The following is a 25,651-nucleotide window of genomic DNA, read 5'->3' as shown; positions in this document are numbered from 1 at the left end:
AAACTGGATATCCACATGCAAGATAATGAAATTGGACCTTTATTTTACACCATACGCAAAAATAAACCAAAAATAGATTAAAGACCTAAATGTAATACCTGAAACTGTTAAACTCCTATGAAAAACCATGAGGGAAGAAAAGTTTCATAACACTGGTCTTGGCAATAATTTCACGGATATAACAACAAAAGCACAGGCAACAAAAGCAGAAACTGACAAATGAGACTGCATCAGACTCAAAAGCTTCTGCATGGTAAAGGAAACAAAATGGTAAAAAGGTAACCCATGCAATGGGAGAAAATATTTGCAAACCATGTCTACCTGACAAGGGGCTAAGCTCTAAAATATATAAGGAATGCCTACAACTCAATAGCAAAAAACCCAATAACCCAATCTGAAAGTGGGCTAAGGACTTAAATAGACATTTCTCTAAACAAGATATTCAAATGACCAGCAGGTGTATGAAAAAATCTCAATGCCATGAAGGAAATGCAAATCAAAGCAATGAAACATCACCTCATATCTGTCAGGATGGCTATTTAAAAAAAAAAAAAAACAAGTATTGGTGAGAATGTGGAGACACTGGAACGCTTGTGCACTGCTGGTGGGAAAGCAAAGTGGGTGCAGCTGCTGTGGAAAACAGAATGGACGTTCCTCAAAACACTAAAACTGGCCGGGTGTGGTGGCTCACACCTGTAATCCCAGCACTTTGGGAAGCCGAGGCGGGTGGATCATGAAGTCAGGAGTTCAAGACCAGCCTGGCCAAGATGGTGAAACCCTGTCTTTACTAAAAAATACAAAAATTAGCTGGGCATGCTGGTGGGAGGCTGAGGCAGAGAACTGCTTGAACCTGGGAGGTGGAGGTTGCAGTAAACCAAGGTTGCGCCACTGCCCTCCAGCCTGGGCGACAGAGCTAGACTCCGTCTCAAAAAACAAACAAACAAACAAAAACAAAACCAAACCAAAAAAACACTAAAACTAAAACTAGAACCTCATATGATCTAGCAACCCCACTTCTGGGTATTTACCCAAAATAATTGAAATCAAGATGTCAAAGAGATATTAGCACCCCATTTTCATAACAGCACTATTTACAATAGTCAAAATGTAGAAGCAACCTATATGTCCATTGATGGACAAATGAGTAAAGAACATACGGTATAGTCATACAATAGAATATTATTTAGCCTTAAGAAATAAGGAAATTGTGCAATCTTAAGCAACATGGATGAACCTTGAGGACACTATGCTAATAAGCCAGTCACAGAAGGACAAACACTGCAAGATTCCACTTACATATGGTATCTAAAACAATGAAATTTGTAGAATCGAAGAGTGAAATGGTGGTTTGTCATGGGCTGGGGGGAGGGAGAAATGAAGATTTACTAATTAATGAGTGTAAAGTTCCAGTTAAGCAAGATAAATAAGTTCTAGAGATCTGTTACACAACATCAAACCTACAGTCAACAATACTGTAATGTACACTTAAAATTTTGTTAAGAGGGTAGATCTCATGTTGTGTTCTGGCCACAATAAAATAAAACTAATAAAGTTTAAAAAATAAAGGAAAAAATACAAAGCTAGATTTCTAGATTTCGGTACTCAGTGAAAATATCCTTCAAAAGTGAAAGTGAAATAAAAAAATTTTCACACAAGCAAAAGCTCAAGAGATTGTTTCGCCATCAGATCTGTACTACAGGAAATATGGAAGGGAGCTCTTCAAGTCGAAGGGAAATGAACATATACATATATTGACTTGTGGAGTTTATAACACATGTAGCAGTAAAATATACGACAACAATAGCACAAAGGAGGAAGGCAGGTAAACGCAGTTAAACAGCTGAAAGATTCTTGCAATGTTCAGCAAGTAGTAAATACGCTAATTTAAGGAAGAAGGTATCGCAACAAGGATGCATATTATTACCAAGGTAATCAATAAAAGAATACTGTACTAAAAGAATGCATAACTAATATGCTAATAGAGAAAAATGGAAAAAAAAAACTTGATTAATCCAAAGAACGGCAAGAAAGGAATAAAGGAACAAGGAACAAATAGGACAAATGAAAAACAAATAGCAATATGGTAGACTTAAACCTAAATATATTTTACACTATATGAAGTGCAAATGGGCAAAACACTCCAATTAAAAGACCAAGATTGTCAGACTAGATTAAAAAAACAAAAAATAAAGAACAGCTATTTCCAAAAGAAAACTTTAAATATCAGAAAGACTGAAAGTAAAAGAATAGAAAAAGACATACCACGCAAATAAGAACAAAAAGATAGCATAAAATAGACTTTAAGAAAATAAATATTACTGGAGTTACAGGGGTACACAAATCAATGTTGCTTTTAATAACAAAAAGATGTTTAGGGGGTGTTTCCTACTCAGCTGTTATGAACCTTATTTAGAAGAATGAGGCCAGGCACAGTGGCTCACGCCTATAATCCCAGCATTTTGGGATGCCGAGGTGGGTGGATCACCTGAGGTCAGGAGTTTGAGACCAGCCTGGCCATCATGGTGAAACTCCCATCTCTACTAAAAATGCAAAAATTAGCCAGGCATGGTGGTGGGCAACTGTAATCCCAGCTACTCAGGAGGCTGAGGTGGGAGAATTGCTTGAACCTAGGAGGTGGAGGCTGCAGTGAGCTGAGATGGTGCCACTGCACTCCAGCCTGAGCAACAGAGCGAGACTCTGTCTAAACAAACAAACAAACAAACAAACAAAAAACAAGAAAAAGAAAGTAAGTTCAAGAGAGATAGAGAGATGACCTTAGAGCCAGTCATCAAAATCTACCTAAAAGTTTGTTTTTTCTCATTAGGACTAAAAATAGTCTGCAAGAGATTGATATTCCATCTTCCCCAAGTGGAGGTAGCCGAGACTACTTAGGATAGAAAACAGGCTTTGTCGACAAAAACACAAGCTATGACATCCACCTTAATTGCCTAATAGCTGGGTGACTGAGTCTGTTTCCTTCTCTGTAAACTGAAGATAACATGAGCCTTGGAGCAGCAGAGCACTTGGCACACCCTTGACATGTTGCAGGTGCTCTGTCGGTGTGGGTTCCCACCCTCTCTTCCCCTTGGCCTCTGGGTAGCTTAAGACTACTAGAGACGCAGGTGTGGCTCTGACTCTGGCTCAAAGCTCTCTCTGAAAGAAAGAGAAGCTGCTTCAGAAGCAGAGAAAGGCCTGCATTCCCCAACTGGACACTGAGAGGGGGAAGATACAGGGCTTGCGCATCTGCCAACGGTGCCAGCTGACAAACCTGGGGTAAGAAATCCTTGCCCTGTAAACTTACTTGGAAATTCCTAAGCCAAATATATTCTGTATTTTTTATCTTGTTTCTCTTAGTCCTTCTTATTAATGTCCCTTAACAATAAATTCAATTGTCTTGAATTAAAAAAAAACGGATAAAGCAACTTTGATGGTAAATTTAAGAGGTAGAGATGAGAGGAACAGGGAGGGAAGACGCTGGTGGTGGGTAACTGTGTACGTTCTTCCCACCTGCCTAGTGAGTTTCAGTTTTTTTGTTTTTGTTTTTTTATTCTTTTGAGACGGAGTCTCGCTCTGTCACCCAGGCTAAAGTGCAGTGGTGCAATCTTGGCTCACTGCAGCCTCCCCCTCCCGGGTTCAAGCAATTCTTCTGCCTCAGCCTCCCTAGTAGCTGGGATTACAGGCATGTACCACCATGCTCAGCTAATTTTTGTATTTTTTTAGAGACAGGGTTTCACCATGTTGGCCAGGCTAGTCTCAAACTCCTGACCTCAGGTGATCTGCCCACCTTGGCCTCCCAAAGTGCTGGGATTACAGGCGTGAGACACCGTGTCTGGCCAAGTTTTAGTTTTAAAGCCTTTAAAGCCACTTGCTTTCTAGTCCTTGGTGCACTTTAAAAAAAAAAATGTGTTAGTCCCTTATAAAAAGCAGGGACTGTTAAAAAGGGAGAATCACCATGAAGCACAGTGATCATAATGCAGCAGACTGTTCATAAAATGTTTACAATTCAAAACTAATCAGCGAAAACATGTGCTCCTGGATGCTCCCTTTCAAAGGGTCTCCTGATCTCAAGCATTCTGCAAAACACCCGTAGTTTTGTCTATTTTTCAAAGTACAAGTCTTAGCGACTAGACAGGGAAGACGAGGGCGAGTTCAATGGGGGTCATCATCCATCATTCCACTGGGGCAAACAGACCGCACTCCTGTCTTCACGGGAGGCCTCACCGCCTCTCTGGATTGTCTTGGGTTGGGTGCTCCACAAAGCAGACCCTGAGCCAAGGATTCAAGTGCAAGTGATTTGTTAAGGAAATGCTCCCAGGAGAAGGGAGAGGAAGAGGCCAAGCAAGGGCATTATTTCAGGTTAACCCCAGACTCATCCCAAGCCCTGGAGGAGCCCAGGAGCATGAGATAACTACAGATCCAGCAATTCTGCTCCTAGATCCATACTCAGAACAACTAAAAGCCGGGACTGAGATACTTATGTATCAATGCTCACAGCAGCCAGAAAGTGTGCATCAACAAATGCATGGATAAACAAATGTGGTCCATCCATACAATGGAATATCATTCGGCCATAAAATGAAGGAAATTCTGTTACATGCCACAACACAGATGAACCTTGGAAATATTATGGTAAGTGAAATAAGCCAGACACAAAAAGAGAAATACCGTATGATACTACATGTAAGGGACCTAGAGGAGTCAAATCCATAGAGCCACATAGAGACTCTTGGGAGTCAGGGGGATGGGAGTTATTGCTTAAGTGGGTAGACTTTCTGCTCAGGAAGATGAGAACATTCTGGAAATGGATGGTAGTGATGGTTACACAACAACGTGGCTATACTTAATGTCACTGAATTGTATACTTAAAATGGTTAAAATGGTAAATTTTCTGTTACGTATATTTTACCACACTTTTTAAAAACATTTTTTAAAAATCTGGGTAAGGGCCAGATGCGGTGGCTCACGCCTGTAATCCCAGGACTTTGGGAGGCTGAGGTGGGCAGATCACGAGGTCAGGAGATTGAGACCATCCTGGTTAACATGGTGAAACCCTGTCTCTAAAAATACAAAGAAAAATTAGCCGGGCGTGGTGGTGGGCGCCTGTAGTACCAGCTACTCAGGAGGCTGAGGCAAGAGAATGGCGTGAACCTGGGAGGCGGAGCTTGCAGTGAGCCGAGATTGCGCCACTGCACTCCAACCTGGGTGACAGAGCAAGACGCCGTCTCAAAAAACAGTAATAAAATAAAATCTGGATAAGATATGCCACAGCTTGTTCCACCTCCAGGCAAAGGAGCCGGGCATTTGTACTCACATCCCATTCGTTGGCACTGGCTCAGGCTGAGGAGGCACAGACCTCAACTCAGGCTCTTCCTGTCCTCTGTGCAGGGTATGGCTCCAGCACCCAAGGCCTCCTTTAAGGCCACAAGCTGCAGTCAAGCATGCCAAAGCCAGGGGTGGCTAAGAGAGCAGGAAGGGACCTTACGGGCAAGGGGTCATCAGCAGTGCCCACTACAGCCCTGTGGGCCCAAGTCACGGCAACTGTCTTCTCTGTGGCCAAGGCAAAGTGCTCTCACCCCAGGAGTGTTGCTGATACCTGGCCTTACCACAGGCCGTTTGCTAATACTCATGGTGTCTAAAGATGCTGACTTGGGGGAAGTGTCTGCCCTTTCAATCGTTTCTCTTTGGTGATGAAAAATGACACACATCTAAGAATAAATGTAAGGTAAATGTGCATAATGTCTACATTGAAAACAACCAACCAGTCACAGAGGGCTATCCCGTATTCACAGGATAGAAAAATGGGCAGGAGATTAAGAGGCTTCACACGAGAGGAGACCTGAATGGCCAGGAAGTGGATGAGAAGGTGCTTGAGTTTGTTAATCATCAGGAAAAACATAAAGCAAAGCCCACTGGGATGTGACTACACACTCACCAAATGCCAAAATGAACAAAACAGAAAATAAGCATACACGTGGATGTGGAGCTCCCACACACTGTGGGCTGTGAGCAGGCACCACCGTTTCCCACCTACCGAAGCTGAACGTGGGCACACCCCATGACCGGGTAAACAGGAACTGTCCAACACAAATGCACGCATTGGCTCACAAGACATGCACGAGAGTCTTCATAGCAGCACGATGTGAAATAGCCACAAACTGGACACTGCCTACATGCCCATCAATAGGCAAATGTATAAGAATAGTTGTATATTCAAAAATGCAGTATTAAACAGCAATGACAGTGATCTACATGGGCATACAGCAACACAGACGGCACTCACGAAATGTCGATTAAAAGAAGCCAGACACAGAGCATACATTTTTATATAAAGCACAACAACAGACAAAAATAATCTGTATTTAGAAGTCAGCGTAGTGGCTCCCTTGGTGGGGGTAGTGATAGGTGGCATGGCAGCTTCCAGGATGCTGACGATGTCTGGACCAGGGCGATTCTGTCTGTGAGAATGTGCTGAGCTGTACTCTGACGATCTTTTTGTCAAAAACAGGCTGCTTCTACTGAGACTCTTCAAAACGTTATAGGGAAACAGAATATCCTCCTGGGAAATGGGGACATTCTAGAAGAGATCACCATGTTCACAGCTACTCTTGAAAGCAACTGCTTTCTATGCCCAGGTCTGCACCTCATCAACTAAATCAGAGCACGTGGCGCAGAAGCTGAGCATCAGCAGCATGTAAAGGTCCCCAGATGACGCCAACGTGCAGCCAATTTCAGGACCCGCTGGATGATCTTTCCTCCCACATGACAGTGGGAATTTACAGACCCCGTCCCCCAGCCTGGAAGTCTCCCCTCACCCTTGGAGTCTCAGTCTAAATGTCACTTACCCTCCTCGAGGTTCCTGTTACCCTCAGAATAGGAGCAGGCAGTATGATCAATGAGAAAAAAGGGCCAGGTCCTAGAGGACTGAGGAACTCTTTAGTGAATCTGGATTTCATTCTAAGATCAATAAGGAGGCATTGAAGAAATTAAGTAAACATCATCCCTCTTCTGTCACTTACCCCATTCTGTCTTAGTTAGACATGAATTAATTGTAGTTAGCACATTTTGAGTGATGACCATGGGCAGGCAGTGTTCTCAGGGAATGCACTGATTAATCTCCATGACCACCCTGACATAGGGCCTGCTACTATCCTCGTCTTACTTCTGAGAGGTTTTGTAAAGTCACCTGAGATCACACAGCTTGGGAGTGGTAGAGCCAGAGCCAGGGTCAACCAGATAATTCTGCCTTAAACCACCATGCACAGGGCCTCCCATTGCCTCATCCTTTCCTCAAACACAGAATGACCCTCAGTGTCTGCCAAGCTCCATACTGAACACTGGGAAGATAATGTTGGGTCTTTCTTCAGCTCTCTGAATATACCTGAATTTAGCTTACAGAAGAATATTTAAAACAGAAAGACAGTCACAAAACATTAGGTGGAAAAATCAAGCTACGGATAGTATGTGCAGTATGATCTCATTTTTTATAAAATATAAAAATGTACTTACAGGAAAAAGGCTAAAAGGATAATATGAAATACCAAAAACTTCTAATGGAGATTTTACTTTCTAAACTCCCTACAATGAATGTTTTACTTTTCTAATACCAACCCAAATGACCCACAATGCCAACCTCAAGGACTCATCTTCTGGAGCCAATGGGGCAGCCATGCCAGGGATCACAGGGAAAGGCTGGCTGCCTTATCAAGGGTGGGCACAGGGTACCAGGGAGGCCAGGATAGGTGCAGCCTGGTGGACAGCATCTGCATCCCTGGTGCAGCTCCCCTCCCACAGGGTCTAGATGCTCCTGGCACCCAGTGTTTACTGAACACCCAAGAGGAGTAAGGCCTCTACCTGGAGGCTCTGCAAGAACAACATGTGGAGTTGGTTTACAACACACACACACACCCCACATCCAAGTCTGTAGGGAGTAGTGGTGTTGCTTTTAGTGGCCAATGCCCTGAATTTGGGAATCAGCCCTGCTAAATTTCAATCTTGGAGCTGCCACGTATTATCTGGATTTTAGATAAGTCATCTCAGCCTCTTCAGGCCTCAGGCCCCTCCTCTCTAAAATTGGGTACTGTTAGACCTGCTTAACAGGGTTGTGGGGTTAAATGGGAATGTCGCTAGAAAAACTTTGTGAGTTAAAAGCCTAATAATAATGTAAAGAATTATGTATCAAGTACTTACACGGAGCTTCATTTACAAGGTGCTAATCTCTGTGTTAAATAGCACACAACTATTAAGCCACATATTCTTCATACCCTAAGAGAGATGCCATGATTATACTTGCTTTACTGGTGGGGAAACACACTGAGCAGCTCGGTATCTTGTCCAAGACGGCACAGCTAGTAAGCTCCATCCCAGTTCCTAGCAGCCTCTCTCACCACGCAGTGAGAAGCAAGACACAGCATCTCATCCGTGGATATCTGCGTTCTGTACAGACACCTCCTGTTACACGATTATTTCATCTACACTGCACTGAGTGCTCCCCCAGGCTTACTCTCCCCAGGAGCAATGCTTCTCTTCTGCCATCTAGTGGCAGCCATGGCGCATGACACCTGAGGGGGCGTGTGCTTAAGGCTGGAGGATCTTGGCAAAATCAAGCAGAAATTCTCTTCCTCCATTCTGATAACTCAAAGTAGTATGCCAGGAATACTGGCATTTTAATGGGAGGAGGGGGGGCAACTGGCACTCACTCATTCAAAATCATTTGCTGAGCATGTACTGTAGGACACACTTTCATTCGTTCCACAAAGATGTATTGAGCCCCTACCAAGGAGCCAAACACCACCCTAGGTTTACTGCCAGGCTCTAGACAGCCAAAGAAACAGGAATAAAATACATTTCCTGCCCTCTAGTACCTTACGGAATACAGACAAGGGGGGCCACCAGAACATGCGGGTATGCTGACAAGATTAGCTCCATATGGGCAAGTGGGGGCAGCAACAAGAGCAAAATCCTATAAAATAAGAGGGGGTGGCCACTGACAGAATAGGGAACCCCACCCATCCCAACAAGCGGGAGCCAGAAAGGGTAAACGTGGGGGGGTTAGGACATTTGCTGGTGAAAACATGGTGTCTTATTCTGTTTTCTGCTGCTCTGACAGAGTACCACAGCCTTGGCAATTTATAAAGTTTATTTGGCTCACAGTTCTGGAGGCAGGAGAGTCCAAGAGCATGACACCAGCATCTGGCAAGGGTCAGCCCACGGTGGAAGGTCAAGTCAGTGCATGAGACAGAGAGAGAAGTAGGCCAAACTTATCTTTTTGATGAGAACCCCACTCCCACAATGGCTTTAACCCCTTCATGAGAGTGAAGGCTTCATGACCCAATCACTTCTTGAAGACTCCACCCCGAATACTGGTAAAATAGCAATTAAATAGCAACATGAGCTCAGGGGAGCCATTCAAGCCACAGCAGGTGGAGACTCTTACCATTTCCATAAGACACAAGGTAACCATCTGAGAAGTGGGAGTAGGGGCAGGAAAGTACTGAAAGAGGCTAAGGAGAAAAGACACACATGAACCAGTTGTTTTAGAGAATAGTGAGCACACATAACTGTGATTTTTAGGTGGTGATATATTTGGAAAGTGACTTGGAAAGCCTCACTGTGCGCTTCTCTCCAGGAACATTCAGCTACTTCAGCAAAGGTGCCTCATCACCTTTAGGGCTTTGTTGCCTGTGTTGCTGAATGCCTCAAATGCACTTTAAAAGAAATGTGTATTCTACTGTATAGGAGAATGTTCTATAAATGGCAAGTAGGTCCTGTTGGTTGATGATGCTAATTAGTTGTTCCACATCCTTGCTGATTTTGTCTAGTTCTATCAAGTACCAAGAGAGGAGTACAGAAGTACCAAGTATAAACAGGGATGTGTCTACTCCTCCTTTCAGTTGTCAGTTTTACTCCACGTTTTGAAGCTCTCTTGTTTGGTGCATTTAGGGTGGTTGTCTTCTTGGTGAATTGATACCTTTATTATTGTGTAATGTCTCTCTTTATTCTTGGTAATTTTCTTTGCTCTGAAGTGTACTTTTTTTTTTTTTAAGTAGGGCCTCACTCTGTTGCCCAGGCTGGAGTACAGTGGTTCAGTCATAGCTCACTGTTAACCTTGAACTCCTAGGTTCAAGGGCTCGTCCCACCTCAGCCTCCTGAGCAGCTAGAACTACTGGTGCATGCCACCACACCTGGCCAACTTTTAATTTTTTTTTGTAGAGACAGGGTTTTGCTATGTTGCCCAGGCTGGTCTTAAACCCTAGCCTCAAGTAATCCTCCTGCCTCGGCCTCCCAAAGCACTGAGATTATAGGTATGAGCCACCACACCCAGCCCTCTGAAGCCTACTTTGTCTGATATTTATATAGGCACTCAAGATTTTTAAAAACCCATGTCAAAGTGGTATATCTTTTTTCATATTTTTACTTTTAACCTGCCTGTAGCACTATATTCAAAGTGATTTTCTTGTACACTGCATTATAATTGGGTCATTTAAAAAATCTATTTTGATAATCTTTGTCTGTTTAGACCACTTACATGTAATGTAATTACAGATGTCAAGATTTAGGTCTGCCGTTTTATTATTTTATTTTTATTCTTCCCCTGTTTTTTATTCCCGTTTTCCATTTCCTGCCTTCCTGTGGGCTATTTGAACATTTTGTACTACTTTATTTTGATTTACCTATAGTGTTGTTCGCTTTATCTTTTTCTATAATTTTTACTTGTGGTTACCCTTGGGATTATCATACACATCCTTATCAGTCTAGTAATATCAATATTTTACCATTTCAAGAGAAATACAGAAACCTTACCACCATTTAAGTCCCTTTGCTCTCCCATTCTTTATAACATAGTTGTCTTAAATATTACCTCTGCATACAATGAAAAGCGTATCAGGCATTGTTATAATTTATTTAAAAATTTTTTTCCATAGGTTACTGGGGAACAGGTGGTGTCTGGTTACGAGTAGCTTCTTTAGTGGTGATTTGTGAGATTTTGGTGCACCCATCACCCAAGCAGTGTATACTGCACTCAATTTGTAGTCTTTTATCCCTCACCTCCTTCTCACCCTTTCCCCCGAGTCCCCAAAGTCCATTATGTCATTCTTATGCCTTTGCATCCTCATAGCTTAGCTTCCACTTATGAGTAAGAACATACAGCGTTTGGTTTTCCATTCTTGAGTTACTTCACTTAGAATAAGTCTCCAATCTCATCCAGGTTGCTGCAAATGCCATTAATTCATTCTGTTTATGGCCGAGTAGTATTCCATCCACCCTGTTTGTGTGCTACCTAGAGGTTAATCTGAAACCTAGGCAGTATTCCACACCATAGTTGAATTCTCAAAGTTTCTGCTTTATTGATTCTGGTCAGTTTCAAGCATGAGCTGCTCAGAGGTGTGCTCAGGACTTCATACACAGAGTTAAAGATTTTTCTCTCCAGTTCTCTCTTCTCTGAAATCCTCCCCAAGTCTCTAGTGTAGAGACACTGACTCTTTATTGTCCTTCACTTAGTGCTCGGTGGGCATGTTGACAGGGCGCCACCCCACAGTCTCCATGCTGAAGCATCCAGTGGGAGGGGTGCAATTTCTTTAAGGTGTTCATCTGGAGTAGGGCAGTAATATAGTTTGGGTATTTGTCCCCACCCAAATCTCATGTTGAATTTTAATCCCCAGTGCTGGAGGTGGAGCCTGGTGAAAGGTATTTGGATCATGGGGGTGGATTCCTCACGAATGGCTTGGGCCATCTCCTTGGTGATAAGTGAGCTCTTACTCTGAGTTCACAAAACATCTGATCACTTAAAAGTAAGTGGCATCTCCCCCCACTCTCTCTCTTGCTTGCTCCTGCTTTTTTTATTTCTTATTGAAACTTTCATTGGTCTTGATGCTCCTCCTTTTGCTATGTTATGGCCTGCTCCTCCTTCACCTTCCACCATGCTTGTCAGCTTCCTGAGGCCTCCCTAGAAGCCAAGCAGATGCCAGCACCATGCCTCCTGTAAAGCCTGCAGAACCATGAGCCAATTAAACCTTTTTTCTCTGTAAATTACCCAGTCTCAGATATTTCTTTACAGCAATGCAAGAACAGCCTAATACAGGGAGGTATACTCAAAGAAGCTTCATCTTGCAGGGCATCCTATTCCAGATCTTTTGGCTGGAGACATTAGGTTCTTTTCAAAATTTTGGTCTGCAATTGTAGGTTGCAGACTGCCATAGCACCCAGACCAGGATATACAGGAGGAAGAAAACAAACAGATAACCCACTGCTGAGTTGTGCTATGAGTCCTGAGGTCCTTGGCCACTCTATCTTCTTTCAGAGTCGTCTGGTAGTTGCTTTATAAATTTTGCCCAGGATTTTTAGTTGAAATCAGCAGGAGAAATAGGACAGAATGGACCTATCCCATCTTGTCCAGAACCATCAGTGATACCTTTTTTAAAACCTTCTTAAAATGGATCATACTAAAAAGTACTGAATACACATTACACATATAGTTAACAAACTTTGGGATGGGAAGAGCGGGAGAGATGGGCCAGAACTATTTGAAAGATGCCTTAAGACTGAGGTCACTCTACAGTGCAGGCAGAGCTTGAAAGTTAGTTGCAGCTTTCTTATCCCTGGAAGTGTTCCCTCTAGTTGTCTCCCAGAGAGTACATATTCCATGGGATGCCCTTGTGGCCAATATCCAGCCTCACATTCCCTTCTCAAGCCCTATCAGGGAATTGTCTCTCTCTTGCCTTCCAGGGAGGCACTGTGATAATGGAGCTAGTAGCTCCAGGCTTTGGAATCAGACTGCCTTAGTTCTAATTCTGCCTCTACAACTTCTTGGTTATGTGACTTTATCTGAGAACCAGTTTCCAACCTGTACGATGGGGACATAATACAGAAACCAAGGACTTCATGTCTAAAACACCAAAAGCAATGGCAACAAAAGCCAAAATTGACAAATGGGATCTAATTAAACTAAAGAGCTTCTGCACAGCAAAAGAAACTACCATCAGAGTGAACAGGCAACATACAGAATGGGAGAAAATTTTTGCAACCTACTCATCTGACAAAGGGCTAATATCCAGAATCTACAATTAACTCAAACAAATTTACAAGAAAAAAACAACCCCATCAAAAAGTGGGCAAAGGATATGAACAGACACTTCTCAAAAGAAGATATTTATGCAGCCAAAAAACACATGAAAGAATGCTCATCACCACTGGCCATCAGAGAAATGCAAATCAAAACCACAATGAGATACCATCTCACACCAGTTAGAATGGCAATCATTAAAAAGTCAGGAAACAACAGGTGCTGGAGAGGACGTGGAGAAATAAGAACACTTTTACACTGTTGGTGGGACTGTAAACTAGTTCAACCATTGTGGAAGTCAGTGTGGCTATTCCTCAGGGATCTAAAACTAGCAATACCATTTGACCCAGCCATCCCATTACTGGGTATATACCCAAAGGATTATAAAACATGCTGCTATAAAGACACATGCACACATGTTTATTGCAGCACTATTCACAATAGCAAAGACTTGGAACCAACCCAAATATCCAACAACGATAGACCGGATTAAGAAAATGTGGCACATATACACCATGGAATACTATGCAGCCATAAAAAAGGATGAGTTCATGTCCTTTGTAGGGACATGGATGAAACTGGAAACCATCATTCTCAGCAAACTATCGCAAGGAAAAAAAACCAAACACCGCATATTCTCACTCATAGGTGGGAATTGAACAATGAGAACACATGGACACAGGAAGGGGAACATCACACACCAGGGACTGTTGTGGTGTGGGGGGAGGGGGGAGGGATAGCATTAGGAGATATACCTAATGCTAAATGACGAATTAATGGGTGCAGCACACCAACATGGCACATGTATACATATGTAACAAACCTGCACGTTGTGCACATGTACCCTAAAACTTAAAGTATAATAATAAAATTAAAAAAATACAATAGTACAGAAACCAACAACTTTTTACAACCTCTACTATAATCACATAGTCTAAGCCACTTAGATTACAATAGTGTCACTGCTTCCACCCTTGACCCTTCTTCATCCTTTTCTCCACATAACAGAAACAATAAGAAACTTAAAAGGAAAGTCACATCATGTCACTTCTCTACCCAATTGCTTCCCCAAATCCTTACAATGGACATCGGGACTCTCTATGATCTGGCCCCTGCTATCTTTTCAACCCCACCTCCTACCATTCTTTCCCTGCTAACCTCACTCCAGCCATTCTGCTGCTCCTTGAATATTCCAAGCATCCTCCTGCCCTCAGGACTTTTGCATATGTCCCTGCACGGAATTTCCTTTCTCCAGATGGAGATAACATAATGTGGTAGTAAGGGAAAAATCACCTCGGTTACTAAAAAGTGTGTGAGTGTATACAGCGGGCCCTCCATATCCACAAATTCTGCATTGGCAGATTCAGCCAAATGCAAATGGAAAATATTTGGGAAAAAATAATAAGAAATAACAATACAAAAATAAAAATACAAATAAAAACCCAATACAGTATAACAACTATTTACACAGCATTTAAGTACTAGGCATTATAAGTAATCTAGTGATTATTTAAAGTATATGGGAGGATGTGCATAGGTTATATGCAAATACTATGCCATTTAGTATAAGGAACTTGCGCATCTGTGGATTTTGGTGTCCTGAGGACATCCTGGAACCAATCCCTCATGGATACTGAGGCACAACTGTATATATGTATAATTTATACGTGTTATCTATATATATTTACATATAACACATTTATTCAGTGCTATGTCAAGCACCATTCTAATGGAGCAATTTACAAACATCTGACTCTTCATGACAATAACCCTACATAGGTAAATACTACTTTTTTTTTCTTTTTGAGACAGAGTCTTCCTCTGTCACCCAGGCTGGAGTGCAGTGGCACGATCTTAGCTCACTGCAGCCTCTGCCTCCCACTTCAAGCGGTTCTCATGCCTCAGCCTCCTGAGTAGCTGAGATTACAGGCATGCGCCACCACGCCCGGCTAGTTTTTGTATATTTAGTAGAGATGAGGTTTCGCGATGTTGGCCAAGCTGGTCTCAAACTCCTGGCCTCAAGTGATCTGCCTGCCTCAGCCTCCCCAAGTGCTGGGATTACAGGCATGAGCCGCCGTGCTCAGCTGGTAAATACTACTTTTATAACGATTTTAGATATAATGAAACTAAAGTATAGAAAAATTAATTTGCCCACATAGCTAGCAAGCAGTAGAGTCAGGATTCAAACCCAGACAGTGTAGTGCCTTTTCTCCCACTTTTATAAAATTTTATAATATTTGTACTTTATAAGCACATATTATAGTTACATAAATCTATACAAGAGTGATGCATGTTAAGTGTTTAGCACAGTGCCTGGCGCATAATATGGGTCCAACAAATGTTACCTGGTTTTCATTCCCACTGTACCTTTCAAGGGCACATGAGGGAAGTTAAGTCATATGATAGCTAACACATACTAATGGGAGATAGCCAGAGACTCCTTCAGATCCAACCTTCAGCAGAAACCTCTGGAGACAATGAAACGAAAGATTTGACATGACTACACTGATATTTTAGCAAGGAATTCTGCTGGAAGTGTATGGGATCAAGTTACAGGAGAAAGAAGTTAAAGCAGGGAGAACTACTGGGGAGGTTTCGGAAAAGGTCCAAGAGTTCCATCTCTTAGTGGCAGCTCACATGGAGTTTACATTCTAGGTGGAAACCTTTCATAGGCTTATTTTCGGCAGTTCTCACAACTGAGATCTGAGAGGGATCTATATTACCCCTATTTTTCTGAATAGGAAATGGAGGCTTGGAGTGGTGAAATAATTTGTCAAGTTACCTAGTAAACGAGAGTGAGAAATGAAGAACTCAAGTCTTCCTCTATACTCCAGAGTCCTCTACTCTGTTAGATACCTAATCACCAAGCTATAGCTGTTCAGACTAAGAGTGTTTTACGATTTAGGTAAACTGAGAAAGATAAATTCATTTAATTTAACAGTAACATCTAATAAACATTATTACTGTTTCTTACATGTTGTAATGTCTTACATTTTTGAAACAGGGACTTTCAAGATACAGCAATGGGACATAGGCAGACATACGTTCCTTGAATCTGCTCCTGGTTTGGGAATGTTTGTGACTATTACAACTTACAATGATGAGGTAAAACATTCTTTTATACTTTGTTACTAAAATTTTTCATTTGCCAGAAATTCAGGCATCATGTAGCCCAGTTTTAAAATCTCTACAGAAGCACTCACTAACCAGAATTAACAATTTTTAATGCATATAGCACTGAATGATAGCATGACATAAAAACATAGAAAGTGCCTGCCCTCAATGAGCCTATAGTTTAGTTGAGAAGCAGAGACAGGCTTCATAATACAAAAAGCTTTTAAAAAATGAAATGAGGATTCCCAGATTTGTCATCTTCAGGTTTGCCGATCTTGCTAGGCAAAAGGGACCTTAAGGCCAAAGCATCCTGTGGTTTTACACCAACCAGGCCCCATCTACTTTGCTGGTGCTGCAGCCCCACCCAAGCACAAGGGTCAGATAAGCCAACTCCTCCCTCCTCCCATTTTGGCATAGGCGTTCTCTAATAATGCAGCAGCCTCTGGGACTGTCTGGTCTTACATACCTCTTACTCACCAGGAGTTAGCAGAGGAGTACAAAAGTCACCAGGAAATGTGGAAAGAATATGGATTTTGGAGTCAGAATCAAACTCAAGCATGGATTGTCACATATAAGCTAAAACCTTGGACGGGTTATTTGACTGCTTTGATGCTGTTTTCTCATATATACAATGGATATAACAGAGATATCCATCCCCCACCATGTAAGCTCAAGACAATGAATTTCTCAGCCCACTAACTCAAATCTAGTCCTGGAGCTGTGCTCATGGGGTAGCAGAATGGTGGTGGACCAAAGACTTGTAGAATAGAATAGGCCTCTTTCTGGCTGGCAAGAAAAGGGTGCTTGAAGTAGGCAGGACAGGACTCCCATTCTCATGAAACTGGATAACTGGTTGGCCCAAGCTCAGGAAGACACTGTGACACCCCCACTTATGTGGAGACAGAGAGCTGTGCTGAAGACTCCAATCCAGTTGGATTTTTGGACACTTGATTTTCACCTGTTCAATAGTTATCTCTCGGCACATTTGGCACCTCACTGACAATAATTCCACTGGGACTGTTTTCCTAGCTCCAGCCACTTGTCAAGACAGCTACCCTCTCCTCCCTACACACCCACATCTATGCTTCTAGCCCATACTTTCTGTTCCTTGTTATATCAAACCCCAATTCTATACTTTCCCAATAATCCTTAATGACCATCTGAAAATGTCTCCAAAGCACATTAAACCCAGAGCCAAATTTTAGTTGGGCCAAAAACTATCACATTAAAACCCATTCACTGTTTTTTTTAAAACACATAGAAGACTCATTCTTTGAAAATCGAAATTGCCTGAAACAACATCTGAACTCTCTATTCTGTTCCATTGATCTATTTGTCTATTCTTTCACCAATATCACACTGTCTTGATTACTGTAGCTTCACAGTAAATCTTAAGGTTGGTTAGTCTCAGTCCTCTTTTATTCTTCTCCCTCAATATTGTGTTGGCTATTGTGGGTCTTCTGTTTCTCCATATAAATATTAGAATCAGCTTGTCAATATTCACAAAATAGTTTGCTAGAATTGTATTGGGATTCTGTTGAATCTATAGAACAAGTTGGGAAGAACTGAGATTTTGACAATAATAAGTCTTCTTATCTATGAACATGGACTTCTCTCCATTTCTTTCACCAGTTTTGTTTTCCTCATATAGGTCTTGCACATATTGTTAGGTTTATAAATAAGTAATTTGAGGGAGCGTGCTAATGTAAATGATACTGTGCTTTTTATTTCACATTCCACTTGTTCATTGTTAGTATATAGGAAAGTGATTCACTTTCTTATATTCATCTTGTATCCTGCAACCTTACTATAATCACTTACTAGTTCTGGCAGTTTGTCAATTCTTTTGGGTTTATACATAAACAGTCATGTCACCTGTGAACAAAGACAGCTTATTTCTTCCTTCCCAAACTCTTTATTTCCTTCTACTGCATTAGCTAGGACTTCCAGTCCACCAAGAAAAGGTTTCTAGTTTCTGACCAGTAAGTGTATTAGCTATAGGTTTTTTGTAGATGTTCTTCATCAAATTAAGTTCCCCTGTATTCCTAGTTTGATGCATTTTTATCATAAATGGGTGTTGGCTGTTGTTAAATGTTTTTTCTGCATCTATTGATATGATGGTATGATTTTTCCTTCTTTCACCTATTGATGTGATGAATTACACTAATTGATTTCTGATGTTAAACCAGTCTTGCATATCTGTAATAAGACCCATTTGGTTGTGGTATATAATTCTTTTTACATATTGTTGGATTTTCATTTGCTAATATTTTGTTAAGGGTTTTTGCATCTATCTTCATGAGATATAATGATCAGTAGTTTTCTTATAATGTCTTTGTCTGGTTTTGGTATTAGGGTAATGCTGGCCTCATAAAATGAATCAGGAAGTATTCCTTCTGTGTCTATCTTCTGGAAGAGATTGTAGAGAACTGGCACAATTTCTTCCTTAAATGTTTGTTAGAATTCACCAGTGAACCCATCTGGGCCTGGTGCTTTCTGCTTTGGAAAGTTTCTATTGATTCAACCTCTTACTAGATATAGGCCTATTCAGACTGCCTACTTCTTGTATTTTATTAGATTGCGTATTTCAAGGAATTGGTCAGTTTCACCTAGGTTATCAAATTTGTGGGCATGGACTTGTTCACAGTATTCCTTTATTATTCTTTTAATGTCCATGGGATTTGTAATGCCCCTTCTTCTGTTTCTAATATTTGTAGTTTGTGTCATCTTCATTTTTTTCTTAGCCTGGCTAGAAGCTTTTAAATCTTTTCTAAGAATCAGCTTTTGGTTTTGTTGATTTTTTTCTATTTCTTGTTTTTAATTGATTTCTGCTATAGTTTTTATTATTTTTCTTCTGCTGCTTACTTTGCATTTAATTTTCTCTTCTTTTTCTCGTTTCCTAAGGTGGAAGCTTAGATTATTAATTTTAGATCTCGTTTTTTAATACAGTCATCCCTTGGTATTTGTGGGGCATTGGTTCCAAGACTCTCCAAAGATACAAAATTCTGAAGATGCTCAAGTCCCTTATATGAAATGGTGTAGTTTGCAGGTAACTAGTACACATCCTCCCATTAATTTAAATCACCTCTAGATTACTTATATCTAATACAATGTAAATGCTGCATCGTTGTTATGCTGTAGTTTTTCACTTGTATTATTTCTGTCACATATATTTTTTTCAAATATTTTCAATCCATGGCTGGTTTAATCCATGGATGTGAAACCTGGCATTATAGACAGCCAACTGTATATGGATTCAATGCTTTCAATTTCCCTCTAGTCACTGCTTTTATTGCATCCCACAAATTTTGGTAAGTTGTAGTTTCATTTTGTCTTGAGATTTCTTCTTTGACCCATGTGTTAATTAGAAGTGTGTTGTTTAATCTCCAAGTATTTTGCGATTTTCCAGCTATCTCTCTGTTACTGATTTCCAGTTTAATTCCATTGAGGCCTGAAAACATACAGTGTATGATTTCTATTATTTTAAATTCTTTAAGGTGTGATATATGGCCCAGAATGTGGTCTATCTTGACGAATGTTCCATGTGAACTTGAGAAAAACGTGTCCTCTGCTATCACTGGATAAAGTAATCATAGGTGTCAATTATCTCCAGTCAACTGATGGTGCCACTGAGTTCAACGATGTCCTTACTAATTTTGGCCTGCAGGATCTGTCCATTTCTGACAGAAGGGGCTGAAAACTCCAACTATAATAAAGTGTTCATCTATTTTTTCCTTGCAGTTCTATCAGGCTTTACTTCACATATTTTCATGCTCTATTGTCAGGTGCATACATGTTAAGGATTGTTGTCTCCTTAGAGAATTCACCCTCCTATCATTATGTATTGCTCCATTATGTAATTATCCCTGATAATTTCCATTGCTTCTGAAGTCTACTTTGCCTGAAATTAATACAGCTACTCCAGCCTTCTTTTGATTAAGGTTACCATGATGTATCTTTCCCTATCCCTTCACTTTTAATCTATGTGTCTTTACATTTCAAATGATTTTCTTATAGACAACATATAATTGGGTCTCATTTTTTTGATCCACTCTATTTTTTAACTGGTGTATTTAGACCATTGACATTTTTTTTCCATGTGTCTAAGGCATGAACCAGGTATAGGTACAGATCAAAAGCCAAGCTGGGATGAACAAAGGGTTGCTTTGTCCCTGGCTAATATGGGCACCACCAACTAGGTGCCACTCTACCCAGGCCAAGGACACAGACCATTAACATTTAAAGTGATGATTTATATAGCTGGATTAGTATCTGCCATATTTGTTACCATTTTCTATTCATTGCCCTCATTATTTTTTTCTTCTCCTCTTTTTCATGCCTTTTGTGGTTTTAATTGAGCATTTTCTGTGATTCCGTGCTCTCTGTTAGCATATGAAGTTTCCCTAGAGTTTGCCATATACATTCACAACTAGTCCAAGTCGAATTTCAAATAACACTATACACTACCACTTCACAGGAAGTGCCTTTTTTTTTTTTTTGAGACGGAGTCTTACTCTGTCACCCAGGCTGCCGTGAACTCAGCTCACTATAACCTCTGCCTCCCAGGTTCAAGCAATTCTCCCTGCCTCAGCCTTCTGAGTAGCTGGAATTACAGGCACCCACCACCACGCCTGGCTAATTATTTTTTGCATTTGTTAGTAGAGACAGGGTTTCACCATGCTGGCCAGGCTGGTCTTGAACTCCTGACCTCAGGTGATCCACCCGCCTCAGCCTCTCAAAGTGCTGGGATTATAGGTGTGAGCCACCATGCCCAGCCGCAAGTGCCTTTTATTAACAAAATATTCCTAATTCTTCCCTGCTGCCCCTGATTTTATCATGGCTTTCATTAATTTCACTTACAGGTAAAATATGACCATTCGATACATTGTTGCTATTATCTTGAATAAAGTGATATTTCTTAGGTCAGTTAAGAATAAGAAAATAGAAAGTTTTAATTTTACCTCCACTTTTCTAATGCTCATCCTTTATGCAGATTTGAGTTTCTGACCTACATCATTTTCCTTCTTTCTGAAGAACTTCTTTTAACACTTCTTACAAGGCAGATCTACCACCAAAAAATTCCTTCAGTTTTTACTTGTTTGAGAAAGGCTTTATTCCCTTATCTCTTGCAGGATAATTTTGCAGGATACCAAAGTCTAGGTTGGTCATTTTTTTATTCCCAATACATTAAATATTTCACTCTACTCTCTTCTTGCTTGCATAGCTTCTGAGGACAGGTCAGATGCAACTTTTACGTTTGCTACTCTGTAAGTAAGGTTTTCCCCCCTCTGGCTGCTCAAGATTTTCTTATTTGTGTTTGCTTCTCTGCAGTTTTAATGATATTCCTAGGTGTAGCTTTTTGGTTTCATTTTGGGGTTGAGGGGGTGAAGGGATTAATCCTCCTTGGTATACTCTGAGCTTCCTGAATCTATGGCTTGGTATCTGACATTAATTTGGGGAAAAATTCTCAATAATTATTGCTTCAAATATTTCTTCTTTTCTCTGTTTCTCCTCCATCTGGTACTCCCATTATGTGTCCAGTTACACCTTTTGTAGTTGTCCCACAGTTCTTGGATATTCTGTGGGACAAAAGTTGTCCATACTATCCCTGGATACTTTTAAATCTTTGTCAATCTGACAATGAACAAGGGCTATCTTACTGTAGTTTGAATTTTTTAATTACTAGCAAGGCTGAATATTTTTCATGTTTATTAGCCATTTGATTTCTTGTTTTAGGAATGGCACAATTTTTTGCTAGATAATTTGTAGAGATTTATTTTTAAGAATGGAAACTAGAAAATAATAAACTCAATTTATGGAAATCCTTAATCCTAGGTAATATTGTCGAAGTTATACGGCCCGCAAGGGACATTCTATTTTACTTCACATTCACCTGGTGAACACACCATTTGCTTAGAATCTAATTCTACAAGGCTTGTGTAATTTGGAGGGAGTAGGCTGGTGAGTATATGCTTCCCATGTCCTTGTTGATGAACACAGCATCAGCACTATTCAAGCATGACATTGGTATGCAGAACCATTACACTCAAACTGGCTAGAAACTTATTAAAGTCCTATGCCCAGATCTCAGCGCAGCAACCAAAGAGGGAGCTGGAGAGCTTGGAAGGGGTTCAAAGGAGAGCCATGAAGTTGATTAAAGGGTTTGAAAAATAAGAGCTGTGAGGGAAGGTTAAAAGAGCTGTGATTATTGAGGCTTGAAAACAAGTGAAGGCTGAAGGGTGAATTAATAATGGAATTCTAATAAATAAAACTCTTACACGGTAGATGGTGACTGGCTATTTTCTAAATGTGTTCGGAACTGATGGAAACAATTTGTACTTTAGCTTAAGAAATTTAGTTATATGTAAAGAAAATTTCCCTCAGAACATTAATCAAATTTTCTCCACACCAAAGTCATTTACCTAATAGTTAATTTCATGTTCAGGAAGGTATAAATATACTATAAGGTCAGTAATTTACCATTTAATGCATTATTATTACAAGAAAGACTACCAAGTAGAATAAGAAAGAGTGGCAGTGAGGGAAAAAAGGGAGCTGAAGAGTGAAGCAACGCCCTGCTTATGAAAAGGGGGAAGGGAGAAAAAGGAAGGACGAGGATACAAGAGTGAGAAAGTAAGGAAAAAGAGTGGAGCTGTTTTTAAAAACATGCCGTTTTTTCCTTTTTACTGTTTGTACAGCGGATCCACTTAGATATTCGAGTTGGAGAACACGACCTTGATGCGGCCATTGCTCAAGCAAAGGACAAAGTTAATGAACTTACCTTCAAGCTTGAACATCTAATTGAACAAATTGAGCAAATAGTCAAAGAACAAAACTATCAAAGGGTCAGTCTGCCTATTCAACTTATTTTATCTCTTGCTACCAGCAACGCATTTCTCAACACAAAGCCCCTGGACCAAGGAAAGAGTGAACTGCCTGTTCCTCACTTTCTCTCTGAGGTAGAACGGTGTGGATTCACAGGGACTAGAGAGAGCAATTTTTCTTCACTCTGTCGGCTGGACTATGAACTCCTCTAGGAAACAGAATTTCAGTTCATTCATCTTTTTATGCCCTGTGCCTAACGAAGTCCCCAGTAGCACAGGGTGTGAGCTTGCAGAATGAATAAATGCTTCCAAATGCATCCCATGTATTTGTAGAGGCTCACGTATGCTCACTTTCCAAATCACAATTTTATTCTTATGACATTAGGTGCTTTTTGAGTCACTACACTAAGTGGATATTGGTCAGATATGGGCTTAAATCTCAACTACCTGTCAGTAATCTGTGTCATCTCTAAGCTTCAGTTTCCTTAACAGGAAGATAAGGACAGGTGTGACAAGCAAATAAGGCATGCAAGTGCTTGGCCTAATGCCTGGCATAAAGGCTGGACTCAAATGATGAAATCTACCACTATTGGGTAATATTCGCTTTGCCTGATGGTAGCAAATAAAATATACGAATAGGTCAAATTCCTGATATTTTACACCAAAATACAAAACCATCTTTTATAAGGTTGATTTTTACTCTCTTATACTTGGCTAAGCAACAGATTCTGGTTTAGAAAAGCAGACTGCACGGATACGTTGGTGTAAGATATTAATTGGGTAATATTAAATACCTTGAATGCCCACAACAACCCTCCCCTCAAAATCGTGAGTTAAGTACTTTATGACACTAAACCTACTTCTTTTCCGCATAGGACCGTGAAGAAAATTTTCGAACGACCAGTGAAGATACAAATAGCAATGTTTTATGGTGGGCTTTTGCACAAATATTAATCTTTATCTCAGTCGGAATTTTCCAAATGAAGTACCTGAAAGACTTCTTTATAGCTAAGAAGATTGTTTAAAATATTATCAATAAGGACAAATAATCTGCATAATGTTTGAGTTAATAAATCAAAATACCTGCATATATGTGTATTATTTTTATGATTTCAAAGATACCAGAGATTGAGATTAACGTTATATCATTATAACATTGAGAGAATGCTTTTATAATGCAGCTTCTGAATTTGATAGATTAGGCACCTCATCCTATTCTTAAACTTATTTTTGAGACTGAGTCTCGCTCTGCTGCACAGGTGCCGTCAGGCTCACCACAGGCTCGATCTCCAGGGCCCAAGCAATCCTCCCACCTCAGCCTCCCGAGTAGCTGGGACCCCAGGGGCCCACCACCACACCCAGCTAATTTTTGTATTTTTTGTAGAGACGGGGTTTTGCCACGTTGCTGGTCTTGCTATTTTAAACTTGGTAGAGATCAGCACTGTCTAACAGAAATAAAAGTGGGCTACATACATAATTCTAATTTGCTGTTGTTGTTGTTGAGACGAAGTCTCACTCTGTTGCCCAGGCTGGAGTGCAGTGGTGTGATTTCGGCTCACTGCAACCTCCGCCTCGTTCAAGCGATTCTCCTGCCTCAGCCTCCGGAGTAGCTGGGATTACAGGCGTGAGCTACCGCACCCAGCCCATACGTAATTCTAAGTTTTCTAGTCTCCACATTGAAAAGGATTTTTTGAAAGGGTAAAATCAACGCTACTGATATATATTTAACCTAATATATCAAAAATATCATGTTAACATGTAATCAATATAAAATTACTAAGAAGGTTTTCATACGAGGCCCTGGAAACAGCTGTATTTTACTCACATCTTTCGGGGCGCAGGGGTCACTTGGCCCGTAGCTACCGGGAGCGCTCACCCTGCGCTCTCCCGGCACAAGCACTTGCCTGAGCCTCTCGATCCGAGCTTTGCAGCGTCCCAGCGGGTGGAAACTCTCAAAACCACGCAGAGGACAATTTTATAAAAAGTCACTTCCCCATGCTGGAACCTGGAAGCAGCAGAGGTCCTTCCCGAGCTACGCCTTCCGTTTCAGAGGGAAGCAGGCTCAGGCCTCCCGTGCTGAGGTCTCTGCGCCAGCGGCCACCTGGACACTAGTCCCAAAGCGTGCAGCGCGGCCTGGCCCCCACCCCCAACTGCCCCCCCCACCCCCACCGCCTCATCACACCCCACCCCCACCGCCTCACGCCCCCACACCCACCCCAACTCCCACATCCCCACTCCCGCTCCCACCCCAACTCCCACACCCACTTATCCCTCCCTCCCTCCTATCCCGCTCCCCGGGCCCCCAGGGCCCCCACGCCCACTCTCCCCTACTCCTCCCCTGCCTCGCCCAGCGCACTACCCTGGCCGCCCTGGCCTCCGGCCCAGCTCCCGGCCCTCAAGGTGGGCCTGGCCCGCATCCCCCGCCCTCGGCGCTCCCCCTCCCCCTCCCCCACTGCTGTCGCGCCGCGACGCCTCCTCAGCGCAGCCGCCATTCCCCGCGCCCGCCACCCAGGCCCGGCTTCCACAAAACACCTGAGGACCGCCAAGACAGGGGCGGGACGTTGGTGCTCGCGGTGCGTTCCTCCGCCTACTCCAGCCCAAACGACCTGGGAGACGAGTCACACGCGCCCTCCCAGGTGCTGCGGGAGAACCC

The 25,651-nt window shown here is 41.6% G+C and overlaps 2 protein-coding genes, 1 long non-coding RNA gene, 1 other non-coding gene and 1 pseudogene across 5 annotated transcripts in view, besides 1 other annotated feature; 2 read left to right on the top strand and 3 right to left on the bottom strand.

Annotated features, from left to right (window-relative positions):
• The window catches only part of LOC124900647 (nascent polypeptide-associated complex subunit alpha, muscle-specific form-like), an 89,556-nt gene extending 63,912 nt beyond the window's left edge, over positions 1-25,644 (bottom strand). The window contains exon 1 of the mRNA XM_047416477.1: positions 25,531-25,644. The gene's annotated coding sequence lies outside the window, so the exon portion shown is untranslated. The remainder of the gene's footprint in view (positions 1-25,530) is intronic.
• LOC105374344 (uncharacterized) lies at positions 6,308-25,644 on the bottom strand. Its single transcript, NR_134676.1, has 3 exons — positions 25,531-25,644; positions 6,843-6,954; positions 6,308-6,574 (listed from the first exon to the last, which is right to left on the bottom strand). It is a non-coding gene; the product is annotated as an uncharacterized LOC105374344 (long non-coding RNA).
• Positions 8,507-8,626: a silencer, noted in NCBI's record as "silent region_15122". NCBI's record gives its function as "represses an Ori minimal core promoter by ATAC-STARR-seq in GM12878 lymphoblastoid cells {active_cell/tissue: GM12878}" and the evidence as "EXISTENCE:reporter gene assay evidence [ECO:0000049][PMID:35858748]".
• TMED11P (transmembrane p24 trafficking protein 11, pseudogene) lies at positions 16,119-24,086 on the top strand (annotated as a pseudogene). Its single transcript, NR_033768.1, has 4 exons — positions 16,119-16,165; positions 22,010-22,135; positions 22,873-23,019; positions 23,874-24,086. The product of NR_033768.1 is annotated as a transmembrane p24 trafficking protein 11, pseudogene (transcript).
• LOC124900184 (small nucleolar RNA SNORA48) lies at positions 20,270-20,399 on the bottom strand. Its single transcript, XR_007058531.1, has one exon. It is a non-coding gene; the product is annotated as a small nucleolar RNA SNORA48 (small nucleolar RNA).
• Positions 25,573-25,651, top strand: part of RNF212 (ring finger protein 212) — a 57,460-nt gene continuing 57,381 nt past the window's right edge. The window contains exon 1 of the mRNA XM_017008040.2: positions 25,573-25,634. The gene's annotated coding sequence lies outside the window, so the exon portion shown is untranslated. The remainder of the gene's footprint in view (positions 25,635-25,651) is intronic.

This window comes from Homo sapiens, chromosome 4 (assembly GCF_000001405.40).
Source record: "Homo sapiens chromosome 4, GRCh38.p14 Primary Assembly".
NCBI lineage: Eukaryota > Metazoa > Chordata > Mammalia > Primates > Hominidae > Homo > Homo sapiens.
Note: the sequence above shows the minus strand (reverse complement) of the source record. Positions and strands in the feature narration are given on the sequence as shown.